This window comes from Homo sapiens, chromosome 19, assembly GCF_000001405.40.
Source record: "Homo sapiens chromosome 19, GRCh38.p14 Primary Assembly".
Lineage (NCBI taxonomy): Eukaryota > Metazoa > Chordata > Mammalia > Primates > Hominidae > Homo > Homo sapiens.
The window spans coordinates 52,618,338-52,638,369 of NC_000019.10; the positions used below are offsets into that span (position 1 = coordinate 52,618,338).

Sequence of the window (20,032 nt, forward strand, 5' to 3'; positions counted from 1 at the left end):
CAAGCTCCGTCCCCTGGGTTCATGCCATTCTCCTGCCTCAGCCTCCCAAGTAGCTGGGACTACAGGTGCCCACCACCACACCCGGCTAATTTTTTTTTGTATTTTTAGTAGAGACAGGGTTTCACTGTGTTCACCAGGATGGTCTCGATCTCCTGACCTTGTGATCCGCCCTCATCAGCCTCCCAGAGTGCTGGGATTACAGGCGTGAGCCACCGCGCCTGGCCAATTTTTGTATTTTTAGTAGAGATGACGTTTCGCCATGTTGGTGAGGCTAGTATCGAACTCCTGACCTGAAGTGATCCACAAGCTTTGGCCTCCCAAAGTGCTGGGATTACAGGCATGAGTCACCACGCCTTGCCAGCCATAAGGTTTTAAGCCTTCTTTACTTCTGGAACCCCCACTGAGCTATCATGAAGAACGCAGAACATCTAAAAAAGGGGACAGTGAAAGTCCAGATGCTACATCATGAAGCTTTTCATTTCAAAATCAATACGGCTTCCATTTTAGTCAAGCAAGGATGCAACTCCCAAGAGAAACAAGAGAAAATGCAAAGATACACAAGGGAACATCCCCACTTCTGGAGGGAAGTTATCCTCACCCAGGGAGACCAGGTTCCTATAATTCTCCAACATCACATCTCTGTATAGAGTCCTCTGAGCAGGGTCCAGGCATTTCCACTCCTCCTGAGAGAATTCTATGGCCACATCCCTGAATGTCAATAGACCCTGAAATGAAAACACATTTTAACCAAATGGTTATGGGAGGAGTTCTTATCTTTACAGAAAATGAGGAGAGCGGTGACAACAAGGATTTAATTGTAGTGAATGTTCTGACAAATCTGAGTAAGGGATTTTTCACCACATGATGTCTTCCCAGTGGTGTTTGATTATACTTTTTGAAGAGGTCATAATACCCTCTTGTTATAAATTTATTATGTTTGTGAAGAATACAAGAAACACTCAAATAAATAGATGCCTGGTTCCCATTATAGAAATGTTAGAAACTTTTGGCCAGGTGCTGTGGCTCACGCCTGTAATCCCAACACTTTGGGAGGCTGAGGCAGGTGGATCACAAGGTCAGGAATTCGAGACTAGCCTGGACAATATGGTGAAACTCTGTCTGTACTAAAAATACAAAAATTAGCTGGATGTGGTGGTAGATGCCTGTAGTCTCAGCTACTCAGGAGGCTGAGGCAGGAGAATTGCTTGAAGCCGGGAGGTAGAGGTTGCAGTGAGCCAAGATCATGCCACTGCACTCCAACCTGGGCAACAGAGTGAGACTCCATCTCCAAAAAAAAAAAAAAATGTTAGAAACTTTTATTGACACACCAAGTGACACTCAGTATCTAGATGAGATAGAGCATGAGTGATGCCTTCAAAGATGACAACGTCCACAGTGAAATAGCCGGGCTCAATGGCACATGCCTGTAATCCCAGCTACATGGGAGGCTGAGGCCGGAGACTTGCTTGATCCTGGGAGGCAGAGGTTGCAGTAATCCAAGATCACACCACTGCACTCCAGCCTGTTCAACAGAAACTCCATCTCAAAGAAAGAAAAAAAAATTTAGCTGGGCATGGTGGCAGGCATCTGTGGTTCCAACTACTTGGGAGGCCGAGGTGGGAGGATGTCTTTACCATGAGGGTACAGGTTGCAGTGAGCTATGATTGCACCACTGAGCTTCAGCCTGGGCAACAAAGCGAGGCCCCATCTCAAAATACAAGAAAACAAAATTACTCAAAGTACAAAAATACATTTTTTATATATATGTCCACAAAATAATAAAATTTACGCAGACTCACAAAAAACTAGAGTTGAATGCAAAGGGTTGTCATTTTCCCCAGATTTTCAAAATACAAAAGATTTTCAAAATATATACGTATGTGTGTATGTGTATATGTATATATGTGTGTGTATATCTGTGTGTGTATATCTCTGTGTGTGTGTGTGTGTGTGTGTATATATAGTTTCCTTTAACTGAAGAGGAATCTCATCTTGGTGGAAAAGGAACTTTGGCAGTTGAGGGCAGGGGAGAATCTGTTCAGTTCTAAGAAAACAGGAGATTACCCATCCTAGAAGCAATCACTCCTTCAACAGCCTTCCCTGGAGGAATCCTCAGATATCTGTAGTAATGCAGGTGAGCACAGAGGCAGTGACTATGGCACTCCTTATACAGAGAAAAGTCACAAAGGACCCATATGTTATTCAGCCAATTTCCAATGCAGGCATCAAAGAGGAAGGTAGCCATATTTACTAATATGAGAACATGTTAATTTTCACAACCAGCAGGATGAAATATCAGAGTAAAATATTTACTAAACACAAAGAAGAAAACAACAGACACTAGGCGTCAGGCCTCTGAGCCCAAGTCTGCACGTATACATCCAGATGGTCTGAGGCAAGCGAAAAGCACAAAAGAAGTGAAACAGCCAGCTTCTGTCTTAACTGATTGACCAACCTTATGACTTTCCATTATGACTTGTTTCTGCCCTGCCCCAACTGACCAATGGATCAACCTCATGACATTCTTCTTCTGGACAATGAGTCCTATGACCTCCCCACCATGCACTTTGTGACCCCCTCCTCTGCTGACAATAGATAACCACCTTTAATTGTAACTTTCCACTGCTTATCCCAGTCCTATAAAACTGCCACTCCCCTATCTCCCTTTGCTGACTCCTTTTTTGGACTCAGCCTGCCTGCACCCAGGTAAAATAAACAGCCTTGTTGCTCACACAAAACCTGTTTGGTGGTCTCTTCACAGGGACATACGTGACATTTGGTGAGATGTGGGACAGGAGGACTCCTTCAGGAGACTGATCCCCTGTCCTGATCTCCATGAGGAGCTCCAGCTACGACCTCAGGTCCTCAGACCAACCAGCCCAAGGAACGTCTCACCAATTTCAAATTGGGTAAGTGGTCTTTTTACTGTCTTCTCCAACTTTGTCACTATCCCTCATCATCTTTCTCCTTTCAATTTCAGCACCACCTTTCAATCTCTCCCTTCCCTTAATTTCAGTTCCTTTCCTTTTCTGGTAGAGACAGAGGAGACATGTTTTATCCATGAACCCAAAACTCCAGCGCTGGTCACGGACTTGGGAAGACAGTCTTCCCTTGGTGTTTAATCACTGCAGGGATGCCTGTCTGATTATTCACCCACATTTCAGACTTGTTCAATCACCACAGGGACACCTGCCTTGATCCTCCACCTTGGTGGCAAGTACCATTTCCTCTTTGTGGCAAGTACCACCCCACTCTCTCTGTGTCTCTACCCCTCTTTTCTCTAAACTTACGTTTTTACTATGGGCAACCATCCACCCTCCATTCCTCCTACTTCCCCCTTAGCCTGTGTTCTTAAAAACTTGAAACCTCTTCAACTCTCACCTGATCTAAAACCTAAGCATCTTATTTTCTCCTGCAACACTGTTTGGCCCCAATACAAACTTGATAATGGCTCTAAATGGCCAGATAATGGCACTTTTGATTTCTCCATCCTACAAGACCTAAATAATTTTTGTCATAAGATGGGTAAATGGTCTGAGGTGCCTTATGTCCAGGCATTTTTTCACTTCACTTCCTCCCTAGCTTCTGGTCCCAATGTGACTAGTCCCAAATGCTTCTTTCCCTCCTGCCTGTCCCTTCAGTCCCAACACCAACTGCTGCTGAGTCTTCTGAATCCTCCTTTTCTGAAGACCCCTCTTACCTCTCTCCCCCTCCCCAGGCCACTCCTCAGAAGGCTGAATCAAGTCCCAATTCTTCCTCAGCCTCCACTCCCCCACCCTGTAACCCTGCTGTCACCTCCCCTCCCCACACCCAGTTCGGCTTACAATTTCGTTCTGCAGCAAATACTCCCCAACCTGCCCAACAATTTCCTCTTTGAGAAGTGCCTGGAGCTGAGGGCATCGGCAGAGTGCATGTACCATTTTCTCTATCAGACCTTTCCCAAATTAATCAACACTTAGGCCCCTTCTCGTGAGACACCACTAAATATATACAGGAATTCCAGTATTTAATCCAATACTACAACTTAACCTGGAGTGACTTAAATGTCATCCTACCTTCTACCCTTTCCCCAGATGAGTGGGATAGAGTTTATACCCTAGCCCAGTCCCACACTGACACCTGCAGGCCTCATGAGCCAAACCTTCAACAAGGCATCTGGGTAGTTCCCCAAGAAGATCCCTAATGGGAATACCAGACAGGCTCCCCAGGTATAGCTAGGCAAGATTATGATTTCCTGCCTAGTTGAAGTGCTTAAAAAGGCAGCTTACAAAGCTGTTAATTATGACAAACTTAAACGACCCAAGGTAAAGATGAAAACCCAGCCCAGTTCATGGTTCATCTGGCAGCAATTCTGAGACACTTTACAGCCCTAGACCCTGAAGGGTCAGAAGGCTGTCTCATTCTCAATATGCATTTTATCAACCAGTCAGCTCCTGACATTAGAAAAAAGCTTCAAAAATTGGAATCCAGTCCTCAAACCCCACAACAGGAATTAATCAACCTCACCTTCAAAGTGTGCAATAATAGAGAGGAGGCAGCCAAATGGCAATGCATTTCTGAGTTACAATTACTTGCCTCTGCTGTGAGACAAAACTCAGCTGCAGCTCCAGCACACAAGAACTTCAAAACGCCTAAGCTGCAGTGGTCAGGCATTCCTACAGGACCTCCTCTCTCAGGATCTTGCTTCAAGTGCCAGAAATCTGGCCACTGGGCCAAGGAATGCCTGCAGCCAGGGATTCCTCCCAAGCCACGTCCCATCTGTGCAGGGACCCATGGAAATCAGACTGTCCAGCTCACCCAGAAGCCACTCCTAGAGCCCCTAAAGCTCTGGCCCATGGCTCTTTGACTCCTTCCCAGATCTGCTCGGCTTAGCAGCTGAAGACTGTCACTGCCCAATTGCCTCGGAAGCCCTCTGGACCATCAGGGATGCTGAGCTTTGGGTAACTCTTACAGTGGGGCGTAAGTCCATCCCCTGTTTAATTGATACAGGGGCTAACCACTCCACATTACCTTCTTTTCAAGGGCCTGTTTCCCTTGCCTCCATAACTGTTGTGGGTATTGATGGCCAGGCTCCTGGACCCCTTAAAACTTCCCAATTTGGTGCCAACTTGAACAATATTCTTTTATGCACTCCTTTTTAGTTATCCCCACCTGCCCAGTTCCCTTATTAGGCTGAGACATTTTAACCAAATTACCTGCTTCCCTGACTATTCCTGGACTACAGCCACATCTCATTGCCGCCCTTCTTCCCAACCCAAAGCCTCCTTCACGTCTTCCTCTTGTATCCCCCCACCTTAACCCACAGGTATGGGACACCTCTGCTCCCTCCCTGGCAACTGATCACACACCCATACCTAATCACCCTTACCCTGCTCAACACCAGTATCCCATCCCACAACAGGCTTTAAGGGGATTAAAGCCTGTTATCACTCGCCTGCTACAGCATGAGCTTCTAAAGTCTAAAAACTCCTTATGATTCCCCCATTTTAAGTGTCCAAAAGCTGGACGAGTCTTACAGGTTGGTTCAGGATCTGTGCCTTTTAAACCAAATTGTTTTGCCTATCCACCCTGTGGTGCCCAACCTGTACACTCTTTTGTTCTCAATACTGCCCTCCACAACTCACTATTCCATTCTTGATCTTAAACATGCTTTTTTCACTATTCCCCTGCACCCCTCATCCCAGCCCCTCTTTGCTTTTACCTGGACTGACACTGACACTCATCAGTCCCAGCAGCTTACCTGGGCTGTACTGCCGCAAGGCTTCCGGGATAGCCCTCATTACTTCAGCCAAGCTCTTTCTCATGATTTACTTTCTTTTCACTCCTCTGCTTCCTACCTTATTCAATACATTGATGACCTTCTACTCTGTAGTCCCTACTTTGAGTCTTTGCAAAAGGATATCCTCCTACTCCTTCAACATTTATTCTCCAAAGGATATCAGGTATCCCCCACCAAAGCTCAAATTTCTTCCCCATCCATTACCTACCTTGGCATAATTCTTCATGAAAACATGCATGCTATCCCTGCCAACTGTGTCCAGCTGATCTCTCAAACCCCAACCCCTTCTATAAAACAACAACTCCTTTCCTTCCTGGGCATGGTTGGATACTTTCACCTTTGGACACCTGGCTTTGCTGTCCTAACAAAACCATTGTATCAACTCACAAAGGGAAACCTAGCTGACCGCACAGATCCTAAATCCTTTCCCCACTCGTCTTTCCGTTCCTTGAAGACAGCTCTGGAGACTGCTCCCACACTAGCTCTCCCTGACTCATCCCAACCCTTTTCACTACACACAGCCGAAGTGCAGGGTTGTGCAGTCGGAATTCTTACACAAGGACCAGGACTGCACCCTGTAGCCTTTTTGTCCAAACAACTTGACCTTCCTATTATACGCTGGCCATGATGTCTCCGTGCAGCTACCACCACCCTAATACTTTTAGAGGCCCTCAAAGTCACAAACTATGCTCAACTCACTCTCCACATTTCTCATAACTTCCCAAATCTATTTTCTTCCTCACACCTGATGCATATACTTTTTGCTCCCTGGCTCCTTCAGCTATACTCACTCTTTGTTGAGTCTCCCACAATTACCATTGTTCCTGGCCCAGACATCAATCCAGCCTGCCACATTATTCCAGATACCACACCTGACCCCCATGACTGTATCTCTCTGATCCCCCTGACATTCACTCCATTTCCCCCTCCTTTCGTGTTCCTCATCCTGATCACATTTGGTTTATTGATGGCAGTTCCACCAGGCCTAATCGCCACTCACCAGCAAAGGCAGGCTATGCTATAGTATCTTCCACATCTATCATTGAGGCTACCACTCTGCCCCACTCCCACAGCCTCTCAGCAAGCAGAACTCATTGCCTAAACTCAGGCCCTCACTCTTGCAAAGGGACTACACATCAATATTTATACTGACTCAAAATATACCTTCCATATCTTGCACCACCATGCTGTTATATGGGCTGAAAGAGGTTTCCCCCCTATGCAAGTGTCCTCCATCATTAATGCCTCCTTAATAAAAACTCTTCTCAAGGCCGCATTCTCCTTATGTCAAGTCTACTCCCCCCATATTTGGACTCCCCACAACACAAGCTACTATTTCTGTGGTCACTCCATTATGTATCTCTCAGCAAAGACCCACTGGAATTCCCCTGGGGAACTTTTCACCTTCTCAATGCTCCTTCACTCTTCATCTCCAAAGCCCAACTACATATATCACAGAAACAATTGGGGCCTTCCAGCTCCGTATTACAGACAAGACATCTATCAATACTGGCAAACTTAAAAACATTATTGCTTAGGAAAACATTTACCCTGTATTTCACTCCATCCTTGGCTACCTTCCCCTTGCTCTTCAGACTCTCCTCCCAGGCCCTCTTCTTATTTACTTATATCCAGCCCCATAAATAACAGTGAAAGTTTGCTTGTAGACACTCAATGCTTTCTCATACACCATGAATATTGAACCTCCCCCTCTACACAGTTACCCCATCAGTCCCCATTACAACCTCTGATGGCTGCCGCCCTAGCTGGATCCCTGAGTCTGGGTAAAAGACACCTCTTTTAGCACTTCTTCTCATCTTTTCACTTTGCATTTCCAATTTTGCCTTGCAAAAGGCCTCTTCTTCTGTGGCTCCTCCGCTTACATGTGTCTGCCTGCTAATCGGACAGGGACATGTACACTCATTTTTCTCATTCCCAAAATTCAATTTGCAAATGGGACTGAACAACTTCCTATCCCACTCATGATACCAAACAGACAAAAAAGAGTTATTCCTCTAATCCCTCTACTTATAGGGTTAGGACTTTCTGCTTCCACTATTGCCCTTGGAGCTGGAATAGCAGGCATTTCAACTTCTGTCACGACCTTCCATAGCCTTTCAAATGACATTTCTACTAGCATTACAGATATATCACAAACTTTATCAGTCCTTCAGGCCAAGTCAACTCTTAGCCCCAGTTGTCCTCCAAAATTGCTGAGGCCTGGACTTACTCACTGCTGAAAAAGGAGGACTCTGTATATTTTTAAATGAAGAGTATTGTTTTTACGTAAATCAGTCTGGCCTGGTATATGACAACATAAACTCAAGGATAGAGCCCAGAAATTTGCCAACCAGGCAAATCATTACACAGGACCCATCTGGACACTTTCTAACTGAGTGTCTTGGCTACTCCCTATTCTTAGTCCCCTGGTACCTGTTTTTCTCCTTCTCTTATTCAGGCCCTGTGTCTTCCATTTAGTTTCTCAATTCATACAAAACCACATTCAGACCATCACCAATCATTCTATATGACAAATGCTACTTTTAACAACCCCACAGTACCATCCCCCGCACCAAGATCTCCCCACAGCCTAAATCCCTATTCCTTGTAACTCATTATAAAATTTTCCTTAAGGTGTCCACGCAGCTCCTAATCTCACTCGAAGCAACCCTGAGAAACATCATCCATTATCTCTCCATACCACCCCCAAAAATTTTTGCCACCCCAACACTTCACTATTTTGTTTTATTTTTCTTATTAATATAAGAAGACAGGAATGTCAGGCCTCTGAGCCCAAGACTGCAGGTATACATCCAGATGGCCTGAGGCAACCGAAAAGTACAAAAGAAGTGAAACAGCCAGCCCCTGTCTTAACTGATTGACCAACCTTATGACTTTCCATTATGACTTGTTCCTGCCCTGCCCCAACTGATCGATCGACCTTGAGAAATTCTTCTGGACAATGAGTCTTATGATCTCCCCACAATGCACCTTGTGACGCTCTCCTCTGCTGACAATAGATAACCACCTTTAACTGTAACTATCCACTGCTTACCCCAGGCCTATAAAACTGCCCCACCCCATCTCCTTTTGCTGACTTCTTTTTCAGACCCAGTCTGCCTGCACCCAGGTGAAATAAACAGCCTTGTTGCTCACACAAAGCCTATTTGGTGGTCTCTTCACACAGACGAGCATGACACTGCAGTCTAGTTGAGGGTGGAGGGTGGGAGGAAGGAGAGGCATAAAAAAGAAAAACTATTGGGGGCCAGGTGTTGTGGTTCATGCCTGTAATTCCAGCACTTTGGGAGGCCGAGGTGGGTGGATCACCTGAGGTCAGGAATTCAAGACCAGCCTGGCCAATGTGGTGAAACCCTCTCTCTACTAAAAATACAAAAATTAGCCAGGCATGATGGCAGGCACCTGTAATCCCAGCTACTGAGGCAGGAGAATCCCTTGAACCTGGGAGGCAGAAATTGCAATGAGCTGAGATCATACCAGTACTCTGGCCTGAGCAAAAGAGCAAAACTCAGTCTCAACTAAATAAATAAATAAATATTGGGTACTGGGCTTAATGTCAAGGTGATGAACTACTCTGTACAACAAACCCCGATGACACGAGTTTACCTGTGTAACAAACCTTCACATGTAGCCCCAAACCTAAAGTAAAAAAATGAATATTGTCAGGCCTCTGAGCCCAAGCTAAGCCATCATATCCCGTGACCTGCACGTACACATCCAGATGGCCAGTTCCTTCCTTAACTGATGACATTCCACCACAAAAGAAGTGAAAATGGCCTGTTCCTGCCTTAACTGATGACACTGTCTTTTGAAATTCCTTCTCCTGGCTCATCCTGGCTCAAAAGCTCCCCCACTGAGTACGTTGTGACACCCACTCCTGCCCACCAGAGAACAACCCCCCTTTTTCCTTTACCTACCCAAATCCTATAAAATGGCCCAACCCCTATCTATCTCCCTTTACTCTCTTTTTGGACTCAGCCCACCTGCACCCAGGTGAAATAAAGTTTTATTGCTCACACAAAGCCTGTTTGGTGGTCTCTTCACACGGACACGCATGAAATTTGGTGCCATGACTCAGATTGGGGGACCTCCCTTGGGAGATCAATCGCTGTCCTCCTGCTCTTTGCTCCATGAGGAAGATCCACCTACGACCTCAGGTCCTCAGACTGACCAGCCCAAGAAACATCTCACCAATTTCAAATCCGGTAAGTGGCCTCTTTTTACTCTCTTCTCCAACCTCCCTCACTATCCCTCAACCTCTGTCTCCTTTCAATCTTGGCACCACACTTCAATCTCTCCTTTCTCTTAATTTCAATTCCTTTCATTTTCTGGTAGAGACAAAGGAGACACGTTTTATCCGTGGACCCAAAACTCGGGCGCCGGTCACGGAGTAGGGAAGGCAGCCTTCCCTTGGTGTTTAATCATTGCAGGGACGCCTCTCTGATTATTCACCCAGGTTTCAGAGGTGTCAGACCACACAGGGACGCCTGCCTTGGTCCTTCACCCTTAGCAGCAAGTTCCGCTTTTCTAGGGAAGGTGTAAGTACCCCAACACCTTCTCTCTGTGTCTCTACCCCTTCTTCGCCTTTCTGGGGGGCAAGAAACCCCAACCCCTTCTCCTTCACCCTTAGCAGCAAGTCCCACTTTTCTAGGGGAGGAGCAAGTACCCCAACCCCTTATATCTCTGCACCCCAATCCCTTATTTCCATGCCCCAACCTCATATATCTCTGTGCCCCAACCTCTTATATCTCTGTGCCCCAATCCCTTATTTCCATGCCCTGACCTCATATCTCTGTGCCCCAACCGCTTTCCCACTTTTCTGGAGGTAAGAACCCCCAAACCCCTTCCCTCCGTGTCTCTACTCTCTTTTCTCTGGGCTTGCCTCCTTCACTATAGGCAATATTCCACCCTCCATTCCTCCTTCTCCCTTTCCTGTGTTCTTAAGAACTTAAAACCTCTTCAACTCTCACCTGACCTAAAATCTAAGCATCTTATTTTCTTCTGCAATGCCGCTGGACCCCAATACAAACTCGACAGTAGTTCCAAATAGCCAGAAAACAGCACTTTCAATTTTTCCACCCTGCAAGATCTAAATAATTCTTGTCATAAAATAAGCAAACGGTCTGAGGTGCCTGACATCCAGGCATTCTTTTACACATCGGTCCCTGTGCCCAGTCTCTGTGCCCAGTGCAACTCATCCCAAATCTTCCTTCTTTCCCTCCTGCCTGTTCCCTCAGTCCCAACCCCAAGCATCGCTGAGTCTTTCTAATCTTCCTTTTCTACAGGCCCATCTGAACTCTTCCCCTCCTCCCCAGGCTGCTCCTTGCCAGGCCGAGCTAGGTCCCAATTCTTCCTCAGCCTCCGCTCCTCCACCCTGTAATCTTTTTATCACCTCACCTGCTCACACCCGGTCCGGCTTACAGTTTTGTTCCGTGACTAGCCCTCCCCCACCTGCCCAGCAATTTACTCTTAAAAAGGTGGCTGGAGCTAAAGGCATAGTCAAGGTTAATGCTCCTTTTTCTTTATTCCAAATCAGATAACGTTTAGGCTCTTTTTCATCAAATATAAAAATCCAGCCCAGTTCATGACTCGTTTGGCAGCAACCCTGAGACACTTTACAGCCCTAGACCCTAAAAGGTCAAAAGGCCGTCTTATTCTCAAAATACATTTTATTACCCAATCTGCTCCCGACATTAAATAAAACTCCAAAAATTAAATTCCGGCCCTCAAACCCCACAACAGGATTTAATTAACCTCACCTTCAAGGTGTACAATAATAGAAAAAAGTTGCAATTCCTTGCCTCCACTGTGAGACAAACCCCAGCCACATCTCCAGCACACAAGAACTTCCAAACGCCTGAACCACAGTGGCCAGGCATTCCTCCAGAACCTCCTCCCCCAGGAGCTTGCTACAAGTGCCAGAAATCTGGCCACTGGGCCAAGGAATGCCCGCAGCCCAGGATTCCTCCTAAGCCGTGTCCCATCTGTGTGGGACCCCACTGAAAATCGGACCGTTCAACTCACTTGGCAACCACTCCCAGAGCCCCTGGAACGCTGGCCCATGGCTCTCTGACTGACTCCTTCCCAGATCTTCTTGGCTTAGTGGCTGAAGACTGACACTGCCCGATCGCCTCGGAAGCCTACAGGACCATCACAGATGCTCTAAGTAACTCTCACAGTGGAAAGTCAGTCTGTCCCCTTCTTAATCAATACGGAGGCTACCCACTCCACATTACCTTCTTTTCAAGGGCCTGTTTCTCTTGCCTCCATAACTGTTGTGGGTATTGACAGCCAGGCTTCTAAGCCTCTTAAAACTCCCCCACTCTGGTGCCAACTTGGACAACACTCTTTTATGCACTCTTTTTTAGTTATCCCCACCTGCCCAGTTCCCTTGTTAGGCTGAGATATTTTAACCAAATTATCTGCTTCCCTGACTATTCCTGGACTACAGCCGCATCTCACTGCTGCCCTTCTCCCCAACCCAAAGCTTCCTTCGCATCCTCCTCTCGTATCCCCCCACCTTAACCCACAAGTATGGGACATCTCCACTCCTTCCCTGGCAACTGCTCACATGCCCGTTACCATCCCATTAAAACCTAATCACCCTTACCCCACTCAACGCCAGTATCCCATCCCACAGCACGCTTTAAAAATATTAAAGCCTGTTATCACTCGCCTGTTACAGCATGGCCTTTTAAAGCCTATAAACTCTCCTTACAACTCCCCCATTTTACCTGTCCTAAAACCAGATAAGACTTAATAGGTTAGTTCAGGATCTGCACCTTATCAACCAAATTGTTTTGCCTATCCACCCCATGGTGCCAAACCCATATACTCTCCTATCCTCAGTACCTGCCTCTACTACCCATTATTCTGTTCTGGATCTCACACATGCTTTCTTTACTATTCCTTTGCACCCTTCATCCCAGCCTCTCTTCGCTTTCACTTGGACTGACCCTGACACCCATTAGGCTCAGCAAATTACCTGGGGCTGTACTGCCGCAAGGCTTCACAGACAGCCCCCATTACTTCAGTCAAGCCCAAATTTCTTCCTCATCTGTTACCTATCTCAGCATAATTCTCATAAAAACACATGTGCTCTCCCTGCTGATCGTGTCCAATTAATCTCCCAAACCTCAATCCCTTACAAAACAACAACTCCTTTCCTTCCTAGGCATAGTTAGTGTGGTCAGAATTCTTACACAAGAGCCAGAACGGCACCCTGTAGCCTTTCTGTCCAAACAACTTGACCTTACTGTTTTAGGCTGGCCATGATGTCTGCGTGCAGCAGCTGCTGCCGCCCTAATACTTTTAGAGGCCCTCAAAATCACAAACTATGCTCAACTTACTCTCTACATTTCTCATAACTTCCAAAATCTATTTTCTTCCTCATACCTGATGCATATACTTTCTGCTCCCTGGCTCCTTCAGCTGCACTCACTCTTTGTTAAGTCCCACAATTACCATTGTTCCTGGCCCGGACTTCAATCCGGCCTCCCACATTATTCTGGATACCACACCTGACCCTCATGACTGTATCTCTCTGATCCATCTGACATTCACACCATTTCCCCATATTTCCTTCTTTCCTGTTCTTCACCTGATCACGCTTGATTTATTGATGGCGGTTCCACCAGGCCTAATCGCCACACACCAGCAAAGGCAGGCTATGCTATAGTACAAGCCACTAGCCCGCCTCTTAGAACCTCTCATTTCCTTTCCATCGTGGAAATCTATCCTCAAGGAAATAACTTCTCAGTGTTCCATCTGCTATTCTACTACTCCTCAGGGATTATTCAGGCCCCCCTCCCTTCCCTACACATCAAGCTCGAGGATTTGCCCCCACCCAGGACTGGCAAATTAGCTTTACTCAACGTGCCCTGAGTCAGGAACTAAAATATCTCTTAGTCTAGGTAGATACTTTCACTGGATAGGTAGAGGCCTTTCCTACAGGGTCTGAGAAGGCCACTGCAGTCATTTCTTCCCTTCTGTCAGACATAATTCCTCAGTTTGGCCTTCCCACCTCTATACAGTCTGACAGCAGACCAGACTTTATTAGTCAAATCAGCCAAGCAGTTTTTCAGGCTTAGTATTCAGTGAACCCTTATGGTCCTCCATCTTCAAGAAAAGTAGAACGGACTAAAAGTCTTTTAAAAACACACCTCACCAAGCTCAGCCACCAACTTAAAAAGGACTGGACAATACTTTTACCACTTTCGCTTCTCAGAATTCAGGCCTGTCCTCAGAATGCTACAAGGTACAGCCCATTTGAGCTCCTTTTTATTAGGCCCCAGTCTCATTCCAGACACCAGACCAACTTGGACTGTGCCCCAAAAAACTTGTCATCCCTACTATCTTCTGTCTAGTCATGCTCCTATTCACCCTTGTCAACTACTCATAAATGCCCTGCTCTTCTTTACACTGCCAGTTTACACTGTTTCTCCAAGCCAGCACAGCTGATATCTCCTAGTGCTGTCCACAAACCGCCACTCTTAACTCTTAAAGTAAATAAATAATCTTTACTGGCAAGGCTATGCTGAACCTCCTTAGGCACTCTCTAGTATTAGATGTCGTAGTTCCTCCCAATTCTTAGTCCTTTAATACCTGTTTTTCTCCTTCTCTTATTCCGTTTAGTTTTTCTATTCATACAAAACTGTATCCAGGCCATCACCAATAATTCTAAATGATAAATGTTTCTTCCAACAGCCCCACAATATCACCCCTTACCACAAAATCTTCCTTCAGCTTAGTCTCTCCCACTCTAGGTTCCCACGCCACCCCTAATCCCGCTCGAAGCAGCCCAGAGAAACATCGTCCATTCTCTCTCCATACCACCCCCAAAAATTTTCACCGTCCCAACACTTTACCACTATTTCGTTTTATTTTTCTTATTAATATAAGAAGACAGGAATATCAGGCCTCTGAGCCCAAGCTAAGCCATCATATCCCCTGTGACCTGCACATACACATCCAGATGGCCTGTTCCTGCCTTAACTGATGACATCGTCTTGTGAAATTCCTTCTCCTGGCTCATCCTGGCTCAAAAGCTCCCCTACTGGGCACCTTGTGGCCCCCACCCCTGCCCACCAGAGAACAACCCCCCTTTTTCCTTTACCTACCCAAATCCTATAAAACGGCCCCACCCCATCTCCCTTCGCTGACTCTCTTTTCAGACTCAGCCCACCTGCACCCAGGTGAAATAAACAGCTTTATTGCTCACACAAAGCCTGTTTGGTAGTCTCTTCACACGGACGTGCATGAAAAATATAATTTCTTTTAATTTACTGCCGTTTTTTCCTAAAGTCTCATAATGATGCAAAAATACACGTGTACGAGACTTGCTCTGATAACCTGGCACAGAACTGACAGTAGCGGCTCCCCAGTGAGGCTGGAAGGAGGGTGGAGGATGTGACAGGGAAAGGAGACGCTTTATGGCCAAGGGCCTAAGATGCAGCTTTGCTTAGAGTTTTACCACAAAACAAATATATTCATTGGTCAGGTGTGGTGGCTCATGCCTGTAATTCCAGCACTTCGGGAGGCCCAAGGCAGGCGGATCACCTGAGGTCGGGAGTTTGAGACCAGCCTGGCCAACATGGAGAAACCTCATTTCTTCTAAAAATACAAAATTAGCCGGGCATGGTGACGCATGCCTGGAGTACCAGCTACTCAGGAGGCTGAGGAAGGCGAATCACTTGAACCCAAAAGGTGGAGGTTGCGGTGAGCAAAGATCACGCCATTGCACTCCAGACTGGGCAACAAGAGTGAAACTCTCTCAAAATAAATAAATAAATAACAAATATATACATCATGTGATGTTCAAATATAAAAATATATATTCATTATTAATTGGTGGGGCTGGGCACCGTGGCTCGCGCCTGTAATCACAGCACTATAGGAGGCTGAGGCAGAAGGATCACCTGAGGTCAGGACTTCGAGACCAGCCTGGCCAACGTGATGAAACCCTGTGTCTACTAAAAATACAAAAAGATTAGCCGGGTGTGGTGGCATGTACCTGTAATCTCAGCTACTCAGGAGGCTGAGGTAGGAGAATCACTTGAACTCAGAAGGCAGAGGTTGCAGTAAGCCAAGATCAGGCCGTTGCACTCCAGCCTGGGTGACAGAGCAAGACTCCATCTCAAAGCAACAACAATAATAATAATAATAATAATAGGTGGAATGAGAATATGGCTCCATCCTCTAGGATACAAAAGTGCTTCTCCCATAGTTGAGAAAAATAGTAACTATTTTTACCAAAAACACCTGTTTCAGAAGCCTCTTAACACCACAATCTCCACGAGCTTAATGTGCTAAGAATGGTTTAAAGAATCTCCTGCTATTATTCAGGTTGATTTCCTATTCTTAAAATAATGATGGAATAAAACACCTTGTATCATGCATGTCTGTGTATGAACTTTCCATTCTAATTAGTAAGATTTTTGGAGTCAGAAACAAAGTAACTCACTAAATTACCTAAAAATATAGTATAAAATCAGGGAGAAAAGATTTCCCCTTATTTGTCTCCTTTTCTAGAATTTACCACATACTTCGTGGACATTAATACGTGACTTCCATTGGCAGCTGCTCTAATCCTGGTCCACAGAGAGTTGACAGAGCATCCAGATGTGGCCCCTGAACAATCCCTGCTGCCCAACAGCACTGACACCACGGGACCCTCACCCCGTCTCCATCCATGTCTGGGTGTGGGCCCTTACCAGGACCATGCCCAGTGCAGCCTCTTCCCAAGTTCATGTGATTGGGTCACAAGAGATGGAATCTAAGTGAGATGAGAGGGACTGAGGGAAGGCATGGGTGAGTGTGAGCAAACCTGTCAGGCAGGACACTTCTTGAGACCCAGAGAAGATTCCCAACTCCAAGGCCCAGGGTTTCTGAAAGGAAAGAGACAGAACAATCCACCGAGAATATCATCTCACCTGAGGAAGAACCATTCCTGACGCCTTTGCTTTCCTCTTCCCCTTCCGGGTTTCTTCCTCATGTACCAAGAGTCCTTAGAAGTCAATCCTGAATGTTAAAAATATGTTGTTTATTGCTCAGAATCAATACACCCCATTCCTGTAACATAACAACACATACAAAGGAGACCTCACCCTGAGGAAATATGGTCCCCTCTGCTGCCCACTGCACCAGAGACGATAAACTCCTACAGGAAAACTCCCGCACCCTTCTGGAGAAGCCCACACCACACCCTTCTGGAGGAGTCCACACACGCTGCAGCAGTGGGGAGCTGGGCTGGAATGAGCTCCTCTTCAGGGCGCAGACCCAGCCCTGACCAAACCCCATGCAGAAACTGGGTGCAGTGGCTCATGCCTGTCATCCCAGCACTCTGGGAGGCTGAGGCAGGTGGATCGCTTAATCTCAGGGGTTTGAGATCAGCCTGGGCAACATGGTGAAACCCCATCTTTGCCAAAAATACAAAAACATAGCCAGGCATGAAGGTACACGTCTGTGTGTCTATGTTCCCAGCTACTTAGGAAGCTGAGGAGACAGAATCGCTTAAGCTCAGGAATTAGAGACCAGCCTGCCAACATGTTGAAACCCTCTACTAGAAATACAAAAATTGGGCTGGCCACAGTGGCTCATGCCTGTAATACTAGCACTCTGAAAGGCCAAGGTGGGCAGATTGTTTGACGTCAGGAGTTCGAGAGTAGCCTGGGCTACATGGTGAAACTCCATCTCTACTAAAAATACAAAAAGTAGCTGGGCTTGGTGGGCGTCTGTAATCCCAGCTAGTTGGGAGGCTGAAGCAAGAGAATCGCATGAATCTGGGAAGCTGAGATTGTGGTGAGCCGAAATCACGCCACTGCACTCCAGCCTGGGAAACAACAGGGAAATTCCAACTCAAAAAAAAAAAAAAACTATGTAGACCACGTGCGGTGGCTCTTTCCTGTAATCTCAGTACTCTGGGCGGCCAAGGCAGGAGGATACTTTGAGCCCAGGATTTTGAGACTAGCCTGGGAAACACAGTGAAACCTCGTTTCTACAAAAAAAAAAAAAAGAAAGAAAAAGAAAACTAGCCGGGCTTCTTGGTGGCTCATCACTGTGGTCCCAGCTACTTAGGAAGCTGACGTAGGAGGATTACTTGAGCCCAGGAGGACCAGGCTGCAGTTAAAGATCATGCCACTGCATTCCAGCCTAGGCAATTGGCCAGACCCTGTCTCTTAATGTTAGTTAATTAATTAAGTTAAAAATTATGTGTTAACAGAAAGGGATTTTTTTCTCACTTCACTGCCCCACTCCCTACCCCACTCTGGGAAAAGGGAACAGAGTGACTCACAAGTGAATAAGTCACTCCACTGTAGCTGAATAGGGATTCCAAGTGGAAGCTAACCTCTGAGGCCAACATTCATAGAATGTACATGTCTTATAGATAGGATTCTTAAAATTCTCAATCTCATCTGTATAATTTAAGCAGTTTTAAGTTACTAGATTATATACAAAGAAGTCAAATGTCACAACTAATCGTATCCAATGAACTCACCCACTCATCTAAACCCAAAGTCCTCCGCCCCTTTTTTTCTTTTGAGACAGGGTCTTGCTCTGTTGACCAGGCTGGAGTGCAGTGACATGATCTCGGCTCACTGCAGCCTGGACCTCCTGGGTTCAAGTGATCCTTCTGCCTCGGCCTTCAGAGTAGCTGGGATTACAGGTGCACACTATCATGCCCGGTTGTTTTTTTTTTTTTTTGGTAGAGATGGGGGTCTCACTATGTTGCCCAAGCTAGACTCGAACTCCTGTACTCAAGCAATCTTCTTGCCTCAGTCTCCTAAAGTGCTGGGATTACAGGCGTAAGCCACTGCGCCCAGCCCATCTTTCTTCATTACTGTGCTTCCCTCCCTAATTGTGTACATATCTCTCATTCTCCCCTTCTCTCTCTAGCTCTTGTTTTCTTTTCTTTTTACCTGGCATTCTGCTCCTCATTTTGTACCCCTCTCCTCTCCTGCTGTTTATCCCCTTCTTCCCTCTATTCCTTCTCTTCCACCTCTTCTGCTCCATCCTCGCAACTTACCTAACTTCTTGCTGTTCCTTCTCCCCAATCGTTCTATCGTCCTCAATCTTGATATATTTCCGCCTCTTCTCCCATCTCTGTGCATCCTCTGCTCTCCCTGTTAAATTCCGTCTTCCCTGTTATACCCCCTGTCCCCAATATGTGGAACCACAGATCCCCAGGTGTCCTCCCTGCTGTGGTTCTCCCTCTGTTCTCCTTGCCACCAGCACCACTCTGCTCTGTCTGCCCTGGCTCCAAATCCCTCCTCCTCTCCCTCACTCTGATGAGATTCCCTCTTTGCTGCCCCTCTCCCTACCTTGCTGTCCTTCATCTCTCTGTACATCTAGGTTTCTCTACGTTTCTCCAGTTACTTTTCTCCTCCTGCTTTCTTTTTTTTTCTTTTCACTTTTGCTGTCTCTTGACAAATCCATCACCCACCCTCTACTTTGCCCTCTGTTATGGGTCTTTCTCATTCTTTTCTCTGTCTCAGCTTTTCTACTGCTCTGTCTCCCAATGCCTTTGGCCGACACAATCACAGGAGGGTTTGGATAAGACGCCTGCATCCCGGAGGAGCTCGTTTTCCGGGGGCTGGAGCTGGGCAGGCAAGAACACCCCGTGTCACAGGACAGGCCCCGGGTACCTCCCCAACGCGGGTTCAGGGGAAGAGGTGACTGTGGAGGAGAGACCTGTGGAGCAGCAGGGCCCGCCACGAGGAGGGAGGTGGGGGGGAGACGGCGCCTTAAGACAAGGTTGGGGTCTGCAGGATTCCAGGACCAGGCAAAGTACGCGGCCTCCCTGGGACTGGGGCCCTGGCGCTGCGCTCCAGTGGCCTACGAAGGCGAGGGTGGGAGGCGCCCAGGGCGGGAATCCAGCTCTCGGGTGAGGACTTTAAAAAGCGAGGGGCGGGAGGAGTCAGAAAACAGTTTTGAGCAGGAAAACTACGCGACAGGAAGTGTATACATCGCCCTACAGCAGAAAGACCGGGGACAGCCCAGCCTCAGGGCGACTTTAAACCCAAAAGGAAGCGATATCCGGACTCTCATGGGGACGTCTCAATTTGTCCTGGGTGAAGGAAGAAGGGAGAGAATTTCCAGGTCTGTGGGGACCCCACGTCTCAGGTACAGCAGCGCCGGGGACCTGGTAAGCGCAGACTTAATAGAAGAGCGAAACTCACCGCCACGGTGTAACTTTCACTCCACATAATCCGCTTCCGGGTTTGCGCGCATGTGCGC

At 46.8% G+C, this 20,032-nt stretch overlaps 1 protein-coding gene, 1 long non-coding RNA gene and 1 pseudogene across 21 annotated transcripts in view, besides 3 other annotated features; 1 reads left to right on the forward strand and 2 right to left on the reverse strand.

Moving 5' to 3' along the window:
* Window positions 1-17,242, forward strand: part of LOC137778871 (uncharacterized) — a 34,279-nt gene extending 17,037 nt beyond the window's left edge. Inside the window, exons 2-4 of one of the 4 annotated variants that reach the window (NR_197423.1) lie at window positions 2,762-2,909; window positions 9,821-10,002; window positions 14,699-15,022. This is a non-coding gene — a long non-coding RNA (uncharacterized LOC137778871). Of the gene's footprint in view, window positions 1-2,761; window positions 8,937-9,820; window positions 10,003-14,698; window positions 15,023-16,327 lie in introns of those variants that run through there. The other 3 variants (NR_197424.1, NR_197425.1, NR_197422.1) reach the window with 3 other exon arrangements.
* The window catches only part of ZNF83 (zinc finger protein 83), a 78,120-nt gene that overhangs the window by 5,961 nt on the left and 52,127 nt on the right, over window positions 1-20,032 (reverse strand). For 5 of the 17 annotated variants that reach the window (NM_001105552.2, NM_001105550.2, NM_001277952.2 and 2 more), the window contains exons 1-3: window positions 19,975-20,018; window positions 16,729-16,816; window positions 599-725 (exon numbers count right to left, since the gene is read on the reverse strand). The exons of 1 other annotated variant lie outside the window; for it this stretch is intronic. The gene's annotated coding sequence lies outside the window, so the exon portion shown is untranslated. Of the gene's footprint in view, window positions 1-598; window positions 726-16,728; window positions 16,868-19,974; window positions 20,019-20,032 lie in introns of those variants that run through there. 11 more of the 17 variants (NM_001277948.2, NM_001277945.2, NM_001348015.2 and 8 more) reach the window with 6 other exon arrangements.
* On the reverse strand, window positions 38-20,018 carry LOC124904757 (zinc finger protein 677-like; annotated as a pseudogene).
* Window positions 18,946-19,464: an enhancer, noted in NCBI's record as "H3K27ac-H3K4me1 hESC enhancer chr19:53140536-53141054 (GRCh37/hg19 assembly coordinates)". NCBI's record gives its function as "activates a minimal SCP1, AML or CMV promoter by ChIP-STARR-seq in naive and primed H9 embryonic stem cells {active_cell/tissue: H9 hESC(naive and primed)}" and the evidence as "EXISTENCE:reporter gene assay evidence [ECO:0000049][PMID:30033119]".
* Window positions 19,465-19,982: an enhancer, noted in NCBI's record as "H3K27ac-H3K4me1 hESC enhancer chr19:53141055-53141572 (GRCh37/hg19 assembly coordinates)". NCBI's record gives its function as "activates a minimal SCP1, AML or CMV promoter by ChIP-STARR-seq in naive H9 embryonic stem cells {active_cell/tissue: H9 hESC(naive)}" and the evidence as "EXISTENCE:reporter gene assay evidence [ECO:0000049][PMID:30033119]".
* Window positions 19,736-19,855: an enhancer, noted in NCBI's record as "active region_15055". NCBI's record gives its function as "activates an Ori minimal core promoter by ATAC-STARR-seq in GM12878 lymphoblastoid cells {active_cell/tissue: GM12878}" and the evidence as "EXISTENCE:reporter gene assay evidence [ECO:0000049][PMID:35858748]".